A 16,031-nucleotide genomic window follows, 5' to 3' on the forward strand; every position below is an offset into this window, starting at 1 on the left:
CCCTCAGACCCGGGAGTCCAGGCCCCCAGCCCCTCCTCCCTCAGACCCGGGAGTCCAGAGCCCTAGCTCCCTCTCTGTGGGAACCCGGTGTCCAGCCCGCTGCTCCGGACCTTGGTCTGAAACTTTTTCTTGCGGTCAGGCAGCAGGTAGATCTTGACGTAGGGGTCTGAGAAGCCGTTGGAGTCCTTGGCAGGGAGGTCCAGGGCCTGCAGGATCCTCACCACCAGCTGGTCCGAGCCATAGAGGTACCGCAGGGCGAAGCTGATACGGCCACAGGGTGCCCCTGTGCCTGCCTCTCCAGAGCCTGGGCCCCCACCGCTCCGCCGGCCACCAGGGCCAGTCCCCTGGTACAGCTCTGGCTTAATCTGCCCAATGAGTTTGGCTTTTTCCTCGCCTCCAGGCAGGGGTAAGGGCAGGGCAGGTGGCCGCTCCTCACTGCTGGGGTCCGGCTGGGAGGTCAGAGTCTGCTGGGTGAGGGGTCGGGGCAGGGCTGGGTACCTGTAGGGGGTTGGGGGGAGACCAAGGTGAGGTCAGTGGCTCTGATCTTCGACTGCATGCAGAGACCTGGGAGACTCCTCCCTGCCTTTCCCCCCATCCCCCAGCCAGGTGGCCACAAGTCCCCTCCTTTGCTCACTGTGTGAGCTTGAGGAAGCCACTGTGCTCTCTGAGCCTCAGATTCCCCATTGGTATCTGGGGGGCATTCCTTCTCTCCCTCCCTCCCTCCCTCCCTCCCTTCTTTCCTTCCTTCCTTCTTTCCTTTTCTTTTGAGACGAAGTTTTGCTCTTGTCACCCAGGCTGGAGTGCAAAGGCGCGATCTCGGCCCACTGCAAACTCTGCCTCCCAGGTTCAAGTGATTATCCTGCCTCAGCCTCCCGAGTAACTGGGATTACAGGCATGCACCACCATATCCGGCTAATTTTTATATTTTTAGCAGAGATGGGGTTTCACCATGTTGGTCAGGCTGGTCTTAAACTCCTGACCTCAGATGATCTGCCCGCCTCGGCCTCCCAAAGTGCTGGGATTACAGGTGTGAGCCACCACACCCAGCCTCATTCTCCCCATTTCAAAGCTAGCTCCAGCCCAGACCTGTGCATAAACCAGCTTCCAGTAACCTCTTTTGGACCTCAAGCTGGTGACCCAGGATGCTTCTCCATGGACCCCTGGCAGACCTTCTTTGAACGCTCTTCTGCCCTTCTCTTAATCTCCCCGGCTGTCTCTCCTCTCTATCCCCACTGTCCTGGTCACAGCTCAGGCCTTGTCCTCTCCTGGACTCTCAGCCTCCAGTGTCTCCCTCCAGCCCACTCCCATATGGCCCCAGAGGGTTCCTTCTACACCCAGAGCTGAGCCTGCCCCTCCCCTGCTCACAGCCCTCCCATGGCTCCTCAGTGCCCTCAGGACAAAGTCCCAGACCCTCAGGCGGGCACTCAAAGCCCCATGTGGTCTGGTGTCTGTAGTCACATCTCTGAAGTTTTCTTTTTCTTTTTTCTTTCTTTCTTTTTTTTTTTTTTTTTTGAGATGGAGTCTCACTCTGCTGCCCAGGCTGGAGTACAGTGGTGCAATCTTGGCTCCCAGGTTCAAGAGATTCTCCCGTCTCAGCCTCCCGAGTAGCTGGGATTACAGACACACACAACCATGCCCGGCTATTTTTGTTTGTTTGTTTTTGTATTTTTAGTAGAGATGGGGTTTCACCATATTGGCCAGGCTGGTCTCGAACTCCTGACCTCAAGTGATCTGCCCACTTCGGCCTCCCAAAGTGCTGGGATTACAGGCATGAGCCACTGCGCCCAGCCTGAAGTTTTCCGTTTTTCAAACTTATTCTCATGCCTTGGTGACTAAGGCTTGGTGCCCTGGCTGTCCCCTTGGTGTGGGCTGTCCTCACAATGCACTAGGATCTCGTTCTCCTCTTGTCTTTGCCTGGGCCTCTCCTTTCACCTGGAATGCCCAGGTCACAGCCCTGCCTCTTTGCCTTCCCAACTCTCCCTCAGCCTGCAGGTCTCAGCTGAGACATCTCCACCTCCAGGAAGCTCCCAGCCTTCTCCCAGTTGCGGTTCCCTGAGTCGCTTTCCTGTCTCACCAACCTGGCTACACCAGGACAGCCAGTCTGGGGGTCGCCTCCCCTGCGCTGTGAGTGACAGGAGGGCAGAGTCTGGTGTTTTCCTAACACCCCTCTCAGGCCTAGTTTATATCAGTGCTCAATATACATTTACATGTATATTGAGAAATAATGAATGAAGGAACTCCAGGTCCCACTACCAATCCTGGCTTAGGGTGAAAGGGGGTGAACTGCCTTGTGCCACAGGGGACTTGGGGATCCAACCTTATTCTCCTCTACTTTCCTGTCCTAAGTCCTGCCCCCAGTCTCCTCCCTCTGGACCCAGGAATTCAGGCCCCCAGTCCCCTACTTCTTCTGGTCCAAGGGGTCTAGACCCCACAGCCCCAACCTCCCTCAGATCCAGGAGTCTAGGGCCCCAGCCTCCTCTTTCCCTAAGATCCAGGAGTCAATACCCCGATTCCCCTCCAAATCCCGAACTCATAAGAGCTATAGATAGGAAAGAGACACAGAGGAGGAGCAGAAGTTCAGAGTGGACCCCCAACCCAGTATCCTCTCTCACCTGGTAGTGGGTGCCAGGCTTGTGACCTGCTGATGTGACTGGGCACTGGGCAAGCCCCCACCACTGGGGGGCAGCAGGAGCAACCCAGAGCCTGCTCCCCCCTCAGAGGGCAGCTCAGGGGATGTTTGGCTCGGTTTGACCCCAGCGGCCACTGCTGCTGCTGCAGCCTCTGGATACGAGTCCATGTCCAAGTAGGAGGGCTCAGGGGTGTCAGAACCCCCCAGGCTGCCTGGCTCCAGCAGCTCAGCAAAGGGTGGATGGTGGGCGGCATGGGCATGGTGGTGTGGGCCGCCCAGCAGAGGATGGCCACCCAGGCCAGCCGCCAGGTGGTGCCCGCCTCCGCCTACCAGGCCTGCCAGCCCGACACCAGGGCCTAGGTCTTTGCGCAGGGGGCCACCGCCCACTGCCGAGCCTCCCTTGTCCCGCCAGGGCACCCAGCACAACTTCCAGGACACGAAGAGAGAGACACCCAGAAGGACAATGCCACAGAATGTCACGATGACCGACAGCAGGCTCACGGAGATGTCTGGAGAGAACGAGGACAGAGGTAGGGGTCAGGATGGGGTCACAGTACATCCTCCCTCTGCTGTCCCCAAAGAGTTAACCCTTCATATTTGCCATGCAATTGTCCATGCAATTGCAAGTGCCAGGCACTTTACATGTATTACTTAATTTATGTTCTACAACTCTACAAGGTTAAGTATTGTATTTTTTTAAAGAGATGGAATCTCTGTTACTCAGGCTGGAGTGCAGTGGCATAATCACAGCTCACTGCACCCTCGAACTCTTGGGCTCAAGCAATCCTCTTACCTCAGCCTCCCAAGAAGCTGGAACTACAGGTATGTGCTATCACACCTGGCTAACTTTTAAATTTTTCTGTAGAGATGAGGTCTTGCTATGTTGCCCAGGCTGGCTCGAACTCCTGGCCTCAAGCAATCTTCCCACCTTGGCCTCCCAAAGTGCTGTGATTACAGATGTGGCCACTGTGCCCAGCCCAGTAGTTCTATATGACCATTTTAAAGATGAGGAAACTGAGACACAGAGAGATTCAGTGATTTGTTTAAGGTTTTACAAGTAATAAATGACAGTTCTGAGATTTGAATCCAGCAGTCTCTCTCCAGATTTTATTCTCTTAATCACTAGACTTTGCTGCCTCTCTATAATAGAACACAACATGTGAGGTAGCACCAAGGTCCTCCAAAATGCTCAGAGATGGTCAAGGAAGCATGGACCCTGCACGACACAGTTAGGCAGGGCAGGGTTTAAATCACGCTTGCTGTGTGGCCTTGGGAACATATCTTGACCACTCTGAACCTTACATTTCCCATTTTCCAAGTAGGAAAAATCAGTTCTTCCCTCTTACAGTAGTTTGAAGGAATGCAGAAGGTAAATCACATGTGGAAGATAATAACAAACATATCTTGAGGGGTGATTACATACCAAATAGCTCAGTACTTTATAGAGATCAGGTTATTTAAGCCTGCCAGGCACTACATGAGGTTGGCAACATATTTATCCCTGTTTTCCACAAAAGAAAACTGAGGTCTGTATACCCATAGTTACCTGCTCAAAGTCCATAGCTGGTAGGTGGTAGAGTCAGGATTTAAGTCTGGGAAGCCTGGCTTCAGAGCCCATGGTCTTTACTATGATGCTATCACACCTCAACGCTTCCCAATAAATGGTAGTTCAAATGTGAATTTTTATTAGAATAATAAATCCTATTGCTGCCACTATGTGCGTCCAACACCATCAACAAGATAGCTAACACATTCTGAATGCCACATATGTGCTGATATGCCTTGCAGAGAAACCCAAGTACAGAATTGTTCTTACAATCAAAGGTTTTAGGCTTCTTCAGTAATTGGTACCAGGAGTGGGGTTTTTCAGAAATGACCTTCAAGGAATGGGAATTTGTTTTGAAATGGACTTCTGGGTGTTGACAAAGTGAAAGACAGGGAAAATCCCTACTCCTGACAGACAGTGGGTTATGGTGGGGAAGCAGGTAGCTAGGCCATTGCCGGCAAGGACAGCTGAGTGGAATGGCTGTGTCCAGTTATATTAGGGGACACACAGCAGGAAGGGGTTGCCTTCTGGTCCTGTACTGCTTAGTGAAGCTACAGTGGTGTGTGACATTAATCCTTATGACATTATATAACTTTGGAATGACTTATCCCATTTTACAGATGAGAAAACAGGCTCTGAGAGAGAGGAAGTGGCCCTGCAGGGACATATACCAGGCACTGGCAGAAGAACTCTGGGTTTCCTTCCCCCCTCCCTCTTGGGGTGCTTTTTTTTTTTTTTTTTTTTTTTTTTTTTGAGGCAGAGTCTTGCTCTATCATCCAGGCTGGAGTGCAGTGGCATGATCTCGGTTCACTGAAGCCTCCACCTCCCAGGTTCAAGCACTTCCTGTGCCTGAGCCTCCTGAGTAGCTGGAACAACAAGTGGGCACCAGCATGCCTGGCTAATTTTTGTATTTTTGGAATAGACGGAGTTTTGTTATGTTGGCCAGGCTGGTCTTGAACTCCTGGCCTCAGATCCATCCACCTCGGCTTCCCAAAGTACTGGGATTACAGGCATGCACCACCATGCCTGGCCAGAGTGCTCCTTCTCTTTTTTTTTGAGACAGAGTCTCGCTGTGTCACCCAGGCTGGAGTGCAGTGATGTGATCTCTGCGGAGTGCAGTGGTGTGATCTTGGCTCACTGCAAGCTCCACCTCCTGGGTTGATGCCGTTCTCCTGCCTCAGCCTCCCAAGTAGCTGGGACTACAGGCGCCTGCCACCATGCCCAGCTAATTTTTTGTTTTTGTATTTTTAGTAGAGATAGGGTTTTACCATGGATGGTCTTGATCTCCTGACCTTGTGATCCGCCCACCTCAGCCTCCCAAAGTGCTGGGATTACAGGTGTGAGCCACCACACCTGGCCCAGAGTGCTCCTTTTTAAGTGACCAACACTCACTGAGCATTCTGGGTGGCCTGTTAGAAACCAGAGGCAAGGACTTTATGAGCCTCCTGAACACAGGTTGAGTTGAGAAAACAGGGTCATTGTGGAGAAAAATTAAACAGATGCTTTCCCCTACCGCCAGCCTGATTCAGACCCTGTCCAACTCAAAACATGAATCCCACAAACCCTGACAGATTCCCCATTCCTGTCTGCACAGACTGGGGAGTTATTTGGGCGTGGAGAGGTGGTGTAGTTGCGCAGTAGAAGATTCACCTTGCCCAGAGAAAGGTTTGGCCCTTGATCAGCTCCCGGGAGGGAACCTCTAAGCCCATGGAATGTCCTGCCTGATTAGAGTGTCTTTGTTTACCTGGGGCCTTGGATCATGTGGCATAGTCTATGTTAACACTGTGATATATGCTGGAGGCCTCCAGCTCAGCCTCTGGAGGAGCTGGAGACTAAAGTCAGCCACACCAGCAATCAGTCACGTATATGAGGCCGACCCCCAATAAAAACCCTGCCCACCAAGGCTCAGGTGAGCTTTCCTGGTTCGTAATAGACTGTGCATGCTGTCACATGTCGTTGCTGGGAAAATTAAGCACTGTCCATGTGACTCCACTGGGAGAGGATGACTGGAAGCTCACACCTGGTCTGTCCTGGACTCTGCCCTGGGTGCCTCTTCCCTTTGCTGACTTCAGTCTGTATCCTTTCACTGTCATAAACCATAACCATGAGTATAACAGTTTCCAGCCAGGCGTGGTGGCTCATGCCTGTAATCCCAGCACTTTGGGAGGCTGGGGCGGGTGGATCACTTGAGGTCAGGAGTTCGAGACCAGCCTGGCGAACAGGATGAAACCCTGTCTCTACTGAAAATACAAAAAATTAACTGGGCGTGGTGGCAGACGCCTGTAATCCTAGCTACTCTGGAGGCTGAGGCAGGAGAATCACTTGAACCTGGGAGGTGGAGGATGCAGTGAGCCGAGATCCCACCATTAATTACACTCCAGCCTGGGCAACAAGAGTGAAACTCCATCTCAAAAACAAACAGACAGACAAACAAAAACAGTTTCCTGAGTTCTGTGAGTCAATGATTCTAGCAAATCATTGAACCTGAGGGTGGTCATGGGCACCTCCAGACTACAGTGCTGTACTAGACTATGCAGGATTCAGTTCTGCCTCTGCTACCATTGAGCCTCTGGGCAAGTGACTGCTGCTCTCTCGGCCTTATCCCTCATGACTGTCACCTGGACATCCTGCACATGAGGTGCCAGACCCTGCCCTGGTGCTCAGCAAGTGTGACTGTGGTTGTAATCACTCAGCACATGCTTCCTCTGGTCACCGTTTCCTCATCTGGACAATGGCACTCATAATGTTTCCTCATTCCCAGAACCCTGCTGCTTTCTAGCTGTGTGACCTTGGACAGGTCACTTCACCCTTCTCAGCCTCAGTTTCCTCTGTTGAAAATGGGGATTATATGTTCCACAAAGGGTCACTGTGAGTAATCATTGAGATGTGCAGAGGACCTCGCATGCTGCCTGGACCACAGTTGGTGCTCAGTAAGTGAATCCCAGCATTGTTCTAAGTTCTTCGTAGGTGTTATATCATTTAAGTCTTTCATCTGCTCTATGAAGCATCCCTTTTATTATCCCCATTTTCCAGATGAGGAGACTGAGTCCCAGAAGAAGAGTCACTTACCTACAGCCATGCAGTTATTAATAAAGTGAGGGAGATGGGACTTGAACCCAAACAAGTCAGTCTGACTCAAGAGCCTGACATTTGCACAAGATGCAGAGAGATATCTGAAGGGGGCATTTGGTGGTGGTAGTCGGAGGGAGGCCCACAGGGCAAAACTCAAAAAGCAGACCACACAGCTCCTTCCCCTTGGATCAGAGATTTGGGAGAAGGGCAGCAGCAGGCAGAATGGGGGCAAGACGCTACGAGGGACTGACCCCACAAGCAATGGAAAGCTGAGCAGTTCTGCTCCGAGTCTCCTGGCCATAGTGCAAGCAGGGGGCTGGCCAAGACAGGCAGGGGTGCTGACCTGCATCTGGACCCCGGGGATAGCCTCGGATTCGGTCATTGAACTCCTGGCACCTGTCGTTGGTGTCAGCATCTCGGACCCGCGCACAGAGGTCCGAGACCAGGATGAGTGCCCGCCGGCAGAGGTCATCCTCGTAGTCTCCTGACATGGTGGCCGTCTGGTCCTGTGTGTGGGAGGGATGGGGCAAGGGTGCAGATGGGAAACAGAATGGGAGTGCAGGGTGGGCAGGTGTGGAGATAAGGGTGGAAAGAGACACCGAGAAAAGGAAGGATGGGCAAAGGGGACAGAGATTAGGGGCAGATGGATTAGGGATGGAGATTCGAGGAAGAAGGACAAGGTGACAGGTATTAGGGATGGACAAGGAAAAGGAATTAGGAGTAGACAGACAAGAGGGCAGAAATTAGGGATGGAGATAGTAGCAGGGACTGGGTAAGTCAAGGGGACAGAGATGGGCATGAGTGGAGTAGAGGACAGAGAACAGGGACAAATGAACAAGGAGGAAGAGATGGAGAAGGGCAGTGAAGGGGCTAAGAATGAGGATGCACAAATAAAGGGATGGACAGATGAGGAAACAAAGATTAGGGCTGCACAGATGAAGGAACAGGAGTTAGGGATGAGCAGACAAGGTGCCAGCCATTCATCATTCATTCATTCAACAAACATCCATCCAGCACCAACTACGCCCTACGTGCTGTGCTGGTTGCTGCGAATCCAGCAGAGAACAAGGTCCTGGAGTTCCCTGACCTCCCGGTGTCACAATCCAACGAGAGGAGACATAGAGTAAACAAGCAAACAAAAACACATACACAAACCGGTCACTGTCAGACTGTCTGTGAGAAGCGCTCCACAGGACACAGCTGGAGAATGTGTCACAAAGGAACTCAGAGGGGGGCGGTCAGGGAGGGCTCTCCCAAACCTGAAGGATGACATGGAGCCAGCCACAGGCGGGGGGCAGTGGCGCCAGGATGGGAAAAGCATTTTAAAGAAAAGCATTTTAGACAGTAGGAGCAGGATGACAGGGGCTTAGGGTAGGAAAGCAGTTGGAGGGTCCAGGGACCAAGGAGGCCAGACTGGGGTAGACGCGGGGAGGGCCAGGAGAGAAGGATGGATGTGGGTAGAGAGATTGGAGGTGGATAGGTATGGTGGGAGCTGGGGGTGGAGAGGTGGAGATGCAGAGATGGGGACCAAGTTGAGGGAGGGAGAGATACAGGGAGGGGAGACAGAGATAATGTGAAGGGCAGACTGAGGCTCCGAAGAGATGGAGAGGTGAACAGGCAGGCAGAAGGAAAGTCAAGGATTGAGACTTGGGATGGACAGTGACAAGGAATGAACCGAGATGTAATTAATTCACGGGGGCTTGAGAGACGAGAGGACGAGAGACGGTGAAGAGGGGCAGGCAGGAGTGTGGGCAGAAATATCTTTGAAAGAGAAACGGTCGAACGGGAGGATGGATGGGTGGGCAAGGACAGCAGATGATGGCTAGAGATCGCAGATAGACAAAAGGAGACAGGAGGGCTGGGCAGACAGACATGGGTTCATAAGGGAAGGTTCAATGAGCACATAAATGAGAGGAGGCTAGGAAGGAGAGGTGGATGTGGGGAGAGGGGGAATTAGTGACACATGGCTCGGAGCCAGGCATCAAGATGGGTTGAAGGGGATGCAGGGGAATTAGGAACAGACAGACCAGGGCTCACAGATGGACAGGTGTCGTGGGGGTGCTGCAGAAGGCCAGGACTCCAAGACAGGCATGGCCACACTCACCTGCGCTTATCTCTGCCGTGTCCTGGGTGGCAGCCGAGGCGGCGGCGGGCGGCAGCCCATGGGGGTTCTAGGGCGGACAAGGGGCTGTGGACCCGTTCCCACGCGCCGGGTAATGAGAGAGAATGTCTGATCTAGGGGCTGAGGCCGGGAGAAAAAGCTCAGCTTAACAGTCACATCTTGCCCTACTCGAGCCAGCTGCCCGACCCCAGGCGACCCACTGGGAGCCCGGCCACCCCCTCCCACCTCCGGGCCCCCAGCTCCCGTTGAGGGCTTAGAGACTACAATTCCCGGCAGGTCTCGCGCTCGCGCTGCTGCGGCTTCATAGACCCGGCGCTGCAGGATCTGCTGGGAGTTGAAGTCCTTAATGCCTCCGGGCTGCAGAGAGGATGGGATTTTTTTTTTTTTTTTAAGGTTTTGGGGGGTTAAGATGCTGGGGTCCCAAGACGCTTCAGGGGAGGGGAACGATGTCCGGGACTTCGAAAAGCCACGGAGCCCTAAGTCCTTAGGGGCCACGGAATGAGGAAACGATCCCCCCGCGCTGGGGATCGGTGGGCGAGGGGTGGGATACACCCAGGTGTTTCGGGACCCCCTTCCAGGGCCACGTGCCCCTCCCCCGGGGTGGCCAGAGAGCGCTGCAGCGCTCCCACTCCCCGGCCCGAGATCCACGCGCCTCTGCATCTACCCCGCCCCCATGCGCCGGGGCCGACCCCAGGGATTTGACTGGGGCTGGGGCTGTGGCAGGAGGAGGGGGAGGAGCGGACTCACCCGGAGCCGCCGCTGCCGCCGCTGCCGCCGCCGCCGCCGCCGCAGCCCCGCGCGCCAGCCGCGGTGCCGGCTCGGCTCCTCCCCTCGCCACTGTCGCAGGTCCGCGGCTCCTCCCCCTGCACCCCCTCCTTCCCCCACTCCGAACCCGCGGCAAGAAAGCCGAAATCACTTGGCCTCAGCAAGGAAGCAGGGAGATTGCCCGGGACTAAGGCAGCAGAGACCCAGTGGGTTTCCACACTGGGGACCCAGAGATCTAGGATCACGACGTGCTGCTTCTCCAGGGTCCGGGGGCCCAGTTCTCCGCCCCGCTATCTCACAGAGGTAGAAGTCCGGGGACCCCAGGCCCCTCTTCCCAGGAACCCAGGACTTCAGGCCCTCCAACCTGAGCCGCTCTGAAGGCCGGTGGTAGGAGCGGAAGCTGAGACTCAAAGGTACAGTGCCACAGCCAGGATAGAGGTACTAGCAGGGACCTGGGTTTGAATCCCACCTGGGCCAACTCCTGCCTGTGTGCGCCTCTTGCTCTGAGGCCCCGTTTCCTCATCAGCAAAATACACACCATAAACTTATTTCCTAAGGGATCCACAGTTTGAAAAACCGGTCAGTGTAGACAAAACATTGGTACCAACTAGGTACTTAATGAATATTTCTCAAAAGTAGTGAGTAACAGTTTCTGGTATATTAATAGCAGTTAATGGCAATTGTCATTTCCTATAAGTGGTGAAGTGCTAAGTGCTTTGAAAGCGTTTTCTCATTTAATTTTCACTTGGGTGCAATTATGACATTCCCATTTCACAGAGGAGACAACTGAGGCCCATGGAGGTTAAATCCCTTGGGTAAGGTCTAGATCAGGGGTGTCCAATCTTTTGGCTTCCCTGGACTGCATTGTTGTCTTGGGCTACACATAAAATACACTAACAGTAACAATAGCTGATGAGAAAAAAAAAATCACAAAAAAATCTCATAATGTTTTAAGAAAGTTTACAAATTTGTGTTGTGCCGCATTCAAAGCTGTCCTGTGCTGCATGCGGGCCTCAGGCCATGGGTTGGACAAGCTTGATCTAGATCTACATAGCCTGGAGAGGTGGCTCGGAGGCCCCCTCAGTGCTCTCAATCAGTGACATCCAAATAAATACAACCTCTAGGTAAAAATCAAAGGCTGGGCTGACACCTGTAAATCCCAACACTTTGGGAGGCTGAAGTGGGAGGATCCCTTGAAGCCAGGAGTTTGAGACTATCCTGGACAACGTAGGAGACTCCATCTCTACAAAACAAAAAAACCAAAAAACCAAAACAAAACCAAACTAGTGGGTGTGGTGGCGTGCACCTGTAGTCCCACCTACGCAGGAGGCTGAGGTGGGAGGATTGCTGGAGCCCAGGAATTTTTTTTTTTTTTTTTTTTTTTTTTTGTGAGACAGAGTCTTGCTCTGTCGCCCAGGCTGGAGTGTAGTGGCGCGATCTGGGCTCACTGAAAGCTCCGCCTCCCGGGTTCACTCCATTCTCCTGCCTCAGCCTCCTGAGTAGCTGGGACTACAGGCGCCTGCCACCGTGCCCGGCTAATTTTTTTTGTATTTTTAGTAAAGACGGGGTTTCACCGTGGTCTCGATCTCCTGACCTTGTGATCCACCCGCCTCGGCCTCCCAAAGTGCTGGGATTACAGACGTGAGCCACCGCGCCCGGCCTAGCCCAGGATTTTGAGGCTGCAGTGAGCTATGATTGCACCACTGCATTCCATCCAGCCTGGGCAACAAAGCAAGACCCCCATCTCAAGAATAAATAGCCAGGTGCGGTGGCTCATGCCTGTAATCCTAGCACTTTGGGAGGCCAAGTGGGCGGATCACTTGAGCTCAGGAGTTCAAGACCAGCCTGGGCAACATGGCAAAACCCTGTCTCTACAAAAAATACAAAAATTAGCTGGGTGTGGTGATGCATGCCTGTAGTCCTAGCTACTTGGGGGGCTGAGGCAGAAGGATCACTTGAACCCAGAAGGTGGAGGTTGCAGTCAGTGAGCCAAGATTGTGCCACTGGGCTCCAGCCTGGGCGACAGAGTGAGACCCTGTCTCAAAAATAAACATAAATATGAATAAATAAATAAATATTTAGAGCAAGAAATAAAAATGTCAAAATAAGTAAGTAAATAAAAGTAAAAATTGCTTGCTGCTTCTGCAAATACAACTTTAAGCACGCATCCTGGGCCCTCCCTCTAATTAGATTACACCCTACCCCTATTGCTGCCTATGTGTACATTTTGCAGCCATTATACTACCACAGAACCCCCAGAAATGCCTCCCAGGTTTGCCGAGTCTCTTCCTTGTGGCTTCTTGCATCCCCCCAGATGGATGTGTGTTTACATCCAGGGAAGCATGTGCGGGTGTAAACCTACAGACCACGAGTGCAGGTCCCCATGCCAACTCTAACAGCCCGACCCTTGAACCCTGCTGGGCCTGCCCAGGGTCCACAGGTAGCCCTGTTCCACAGGGAGAGACACGCAGTGATGCACACACTCAGAGATGGGCACACAGATGGGCTTGCCACGCTGCCATGACACGTTTCCAAAGAGACGCTCGGATTCCGAGGCTGCCCAGGCATTGAGAGGCAGCCGTAGTGCACTGGTTTTCTGTGTGACTTTGGGGGCAGAGCACTGGGATTCAAATCCCAGCTCTGCTCCCCTCTCTATGCAACCTTGGAGGGGTTACTTAGATTCTCCATGCCTCAGTTTCCCTCTCTGTAAGTGCAGATAATAATACTTTAAAAAATCATACTCTGGCTGGGTGCAGTGGCACATGCCTGTAATCCCAGCACTTTGGGAGGCCGAGGCTGGCAGATCACCTGAGGTCGGGAGTTTGAGACCAGCCTGACCAACATGGAGAAACCCCGTCTCTACTAAAAATACAAAAATTAGCCGGGCGTGGTGGCACATGCCTGTAATCTCAGCTACTTGGGAGGCTGAAGCAGGAGAATCACTTGAACCCAGGAGGCAGAGGCTGCAGTGAGCCAAGATCATGCCATTGCACTCCAGCCTGGGCAACAAGAGTGAAACTCTGTCTCAAAAAAAAGAAAGAAAGAAAAAATCATATTGTATCTCACTGGGTTATTTTGAGGGTTAAATTAAATTCATGGAAGGTGCTTAGGAAAAATGGCTAGTGTTTAGTGTTGTCATAAATAAAAATTAAATGCATTTGCTCATTTAAACTTTAGCTGGACTTGACAAGTGAGGAAATTGAGGCTCACCAAGGGAAGCGCTCTGCCCAAGATCACACATCTGGAAAGTGTGAGTGGAGATTAAAAACTGTATGGGTCTGGACCAAGTGCAGTGGCTCACACCTGTAATCCCAGCACTTTGGGAGGCCAAAGGTGAGAGGATCCTTTGAGCTCAGGAGTTGAGACTTGCCTGGACAACATAGTGAGACCTCATTTCTACAAAAAATACAAAATTTAGCCGGGCATGGTGGCACACACCTGTAGTCCCACCTGCTTGGGGGGAGGCTGAGGTGGGAGGATTGCTTGAGCCCCAGAAGTCGAGGCTGTGGGGAAATGGAGGCTGCCCAGAGTCCCGTCCTTGTGCCTTCTTGCATCCCCCCGGATGGATGTGCGTTTACATCCAGGCTGGAGTGCAGTGAGCCATGATCGTGCCACTGCACTCCAGCCTGGATGTCAGAGTGAGACCTTGTCTCAAAACACAAAAAGAAAAAACAAAAAACGGAGTGGATCTGAATCCAGAGCCCTTGCCTTTAGCCACCATGCTGTTTGCATCTAGGACCCATTTGAGGACTTGCATGCTACTGCTGCTAGGAGTATAGAACAATATAAAGAACACCGGACAGGGAGCCAGGAGACAGAGATAGAATCTTCCATATTCATTCAACTCGATTCATGCAGTCATTTGAGAAATACTTTCTGAGCACCTAATGTGTGCCAGGCATTTTTTTTTTTAGACAGCAGGGATTCATCTGGGAACAAAATAGACTAAAATTCCAGGGTTGGAAGAGCTCATGGTCTAGTGGAAGAGACAGAAAATAATCAAATAACTACACATACTAGGATCCTCATACTAGGATCAATGCTAGGAAGGAACATCCATTGTGCTGTGTGTTTGAGAGAGGTCAGAGAAGTTCCTGAGCAAGTGACTTTTCAGCTGAGCTCAGAAGGATGAGTAGGCATAAGCCAGGTGGTGAAGATGAGGGAGGGGAGGGGAAATGCTCCAGGGAGAAGGAACAGCTCATGTAAGACCTGGGGGCAGGAGGGAGTTTGGCACCTTGAGGGCTGTCAAGCACACAAGCCCCGTAGGAGTAGCACTTTGTTTTGTTCATAGCTGTGTCCCAGCTGCCTGGCACAGTACCTGGCGCATGGTAGGCACTCAATACTTATTGGTTGGTTGAATGAATGAATGAACATGTGAATGGATAAGTGGAGGAATGTGTGAATCTATGATGTATTGATGGATGGGTGCATGACTGGATAGATGCTGGAAGGATAGATGAAGGGATGGACAGATAGGTGGATGAGTGAATGGCTGGATGGATAAGATGGATGTTGGAGGAATAGATGAAGGAATGGATAGATGAAAGAGTGGATGGTTGGGTGCATACATGGATGATTGGATGGATAGATGAAGAGTTAGAGTGGGGATGGATAGATGGATACTGCAGAAATAGATGAAGGGATGGATGAGTGAATGGCTGGATGGATAGAGGATAGATTGGTGGATAGATGGATGGATGTTGGAGGAATAGATGAAGGGATGGATGAGTGGATGAGTGGATGAGTGGATAGTTGGATGGGATGGATGGAAGCTGCAGAAATAGACGAAGGGATGAATGAGTCAGTGGTTGAATGGATAGAAGATGGATGGATTTGTGGATGGGTGGATGGATGTTGGAGAAAAAGATGAAGGAATGGATGGATGAGTGGATGATAGGATGGATGGATGCTGCAGAAATAAATAAAGGGATGGATGAGTGGAGGGTTGGGTGGATGGATGGATGATTGGATGGGTAGATGGAGAATTAGATAAAGGATGGATGGATTTTGGAGAAATAGATGAAGGGAGGGATGAGTGGATGGCTAGGTGCAGGGATGGATGATTGGATGATTGGATAGATAGATGAAGAGTTAGATAGAGGATGGTTGGGTGGATGTTGGAGAAATAGATGAAGGGATGGATGGATGGGTGACTGATTGAATGAGTTTTCACAAATACCTACAGATTCACACACATATGTGCCTGGAGGTAGATGCAGATACACTCAGAGGCATGCACACATGTGTGTAAATACAGATTCACTTGTTCTCCTGGTGCTCCTCCTGGAGAGAGCAAACACTGAGAATGGGGAGGTGGGGAGACACACCTTTTGGCCAGGGCTATGGCCATCCCTGCCACCACTGCGGCGCTGACAGTATTTCTGGAATTGGAGGAAAACGCTGATTCAGGGGTGTGTGTTTTAGACTGGGCACCAGGCCAGGAAGTGGGACAGGGATGGCCCAGAGAGATGGATTGAGTGGCAGAGGGAAGTCGGTCGGAGTAAGGCAGAGAGACAGGCAAGGCGACAGAGAGGTGGAGACACACAGAAGCAGAGAGATGGGGAAATAGGCAAAGTCATGGAGGCAGAGACAGAGACATAGAGAGAAAGGGAAGGAAAGAGAGATGGAGACACAGAAACAGAGATGGGGAAATAGAGTGATGGAGACAGAGACAGATGTACAGAGAGAAAGACAGGGAGAGAAAGATGGAGATACAGAGACATACAGAAATCTACAGAGATGCAGACAGTGAGAGACAGAGATACAGGAATACAGAAACCTGTGATACAGGAATTCAAATTCAGACACACACTGTAGTCCCAGCACTTTGGGAGGCTGAGGCAGGCAGATAGCTTGAGCTCAAGAGTTCAAGACCAACCTGGACAACATGGTGAAAT

The 16,031-nt window shown here is 51.9% G+C and overlaps 1 protein-coding gene across 6 annotated transcripts in view, besides 1 other annotated feature; it reads right to left on the reverse strand.

The window, feature by feature from the left end:
- SYT3 (synaptotagmin 3) overlaps window positions 1-16,031 on the reverse strand; it is a 36,129-nt gene that overhangs the window by 7,697 nt on the left and 12,401 nt on the right. The window contains exons 1-6 of one of the 6 annotated variants that reach the window (NM_001424344.1): window positions 10,117-10,208; window positions 9,595-9,726; window positions 9,352-9,489; window positions 7,591-7,753; window positions 2,613-3,138; window positions 111-498 (exon numbers count right to left, since the gene is read on the reverse strand). In NM_001424344.1, the coding sequence (NP_001411273.1) occupies window positions 111-498; window positions 2,613-3,138; window positions 7,591-7,738 (1,062 nt within the window). In that variant the 5' untranslated portion in view covers window positions 7,739-7,753; window positions 9,352-9,489; window positions 9,595-9,726; window positions 10,117-10,208. Of the gene's footprint in view, window positions 1-110; window positions 499-2,612; window positions 3,139-7,590; window positions 8,273-9,351; window positions 9,727-10,116; window positions 10,209-16,031 lie in introns of those variants that run through there. The other 5 variants (NM_001160329.2, NM_001160328.2, NM_001424345.1 and 2 more) reach the window with 5 other exon arrangements.
- Window positions 9,519-9,813: an enhancer, noted in NCBI's record as "tiled region #12037; HepG2 Activating non-DNase unmatched - State 20:ReprD, and K562 Activating DNase matched - State 4:PromP". NCBI's record gives its function as "activates a minimal TATA promoter and a strong SV40 promoter by Sharpr-MPRA in HepG2 and K562 cells {active_cell/tissue: HepG2 | K562}" and the evidence as "EXISTENCE:reporter gene assay evidence [ECO:0000049][PMID:27701403]".

This window comes from Homo sapiens, chromosome 19, assembly GCF_000001405.40.
Source record: "Homo sapiens chromosome 19, GRCh38.p14 Primary Assembly".
NCBI lineage: Eukaryota > Metazoa > Chordata > Mammalia > Primates > Hominidae > Homo > Homo sapiens.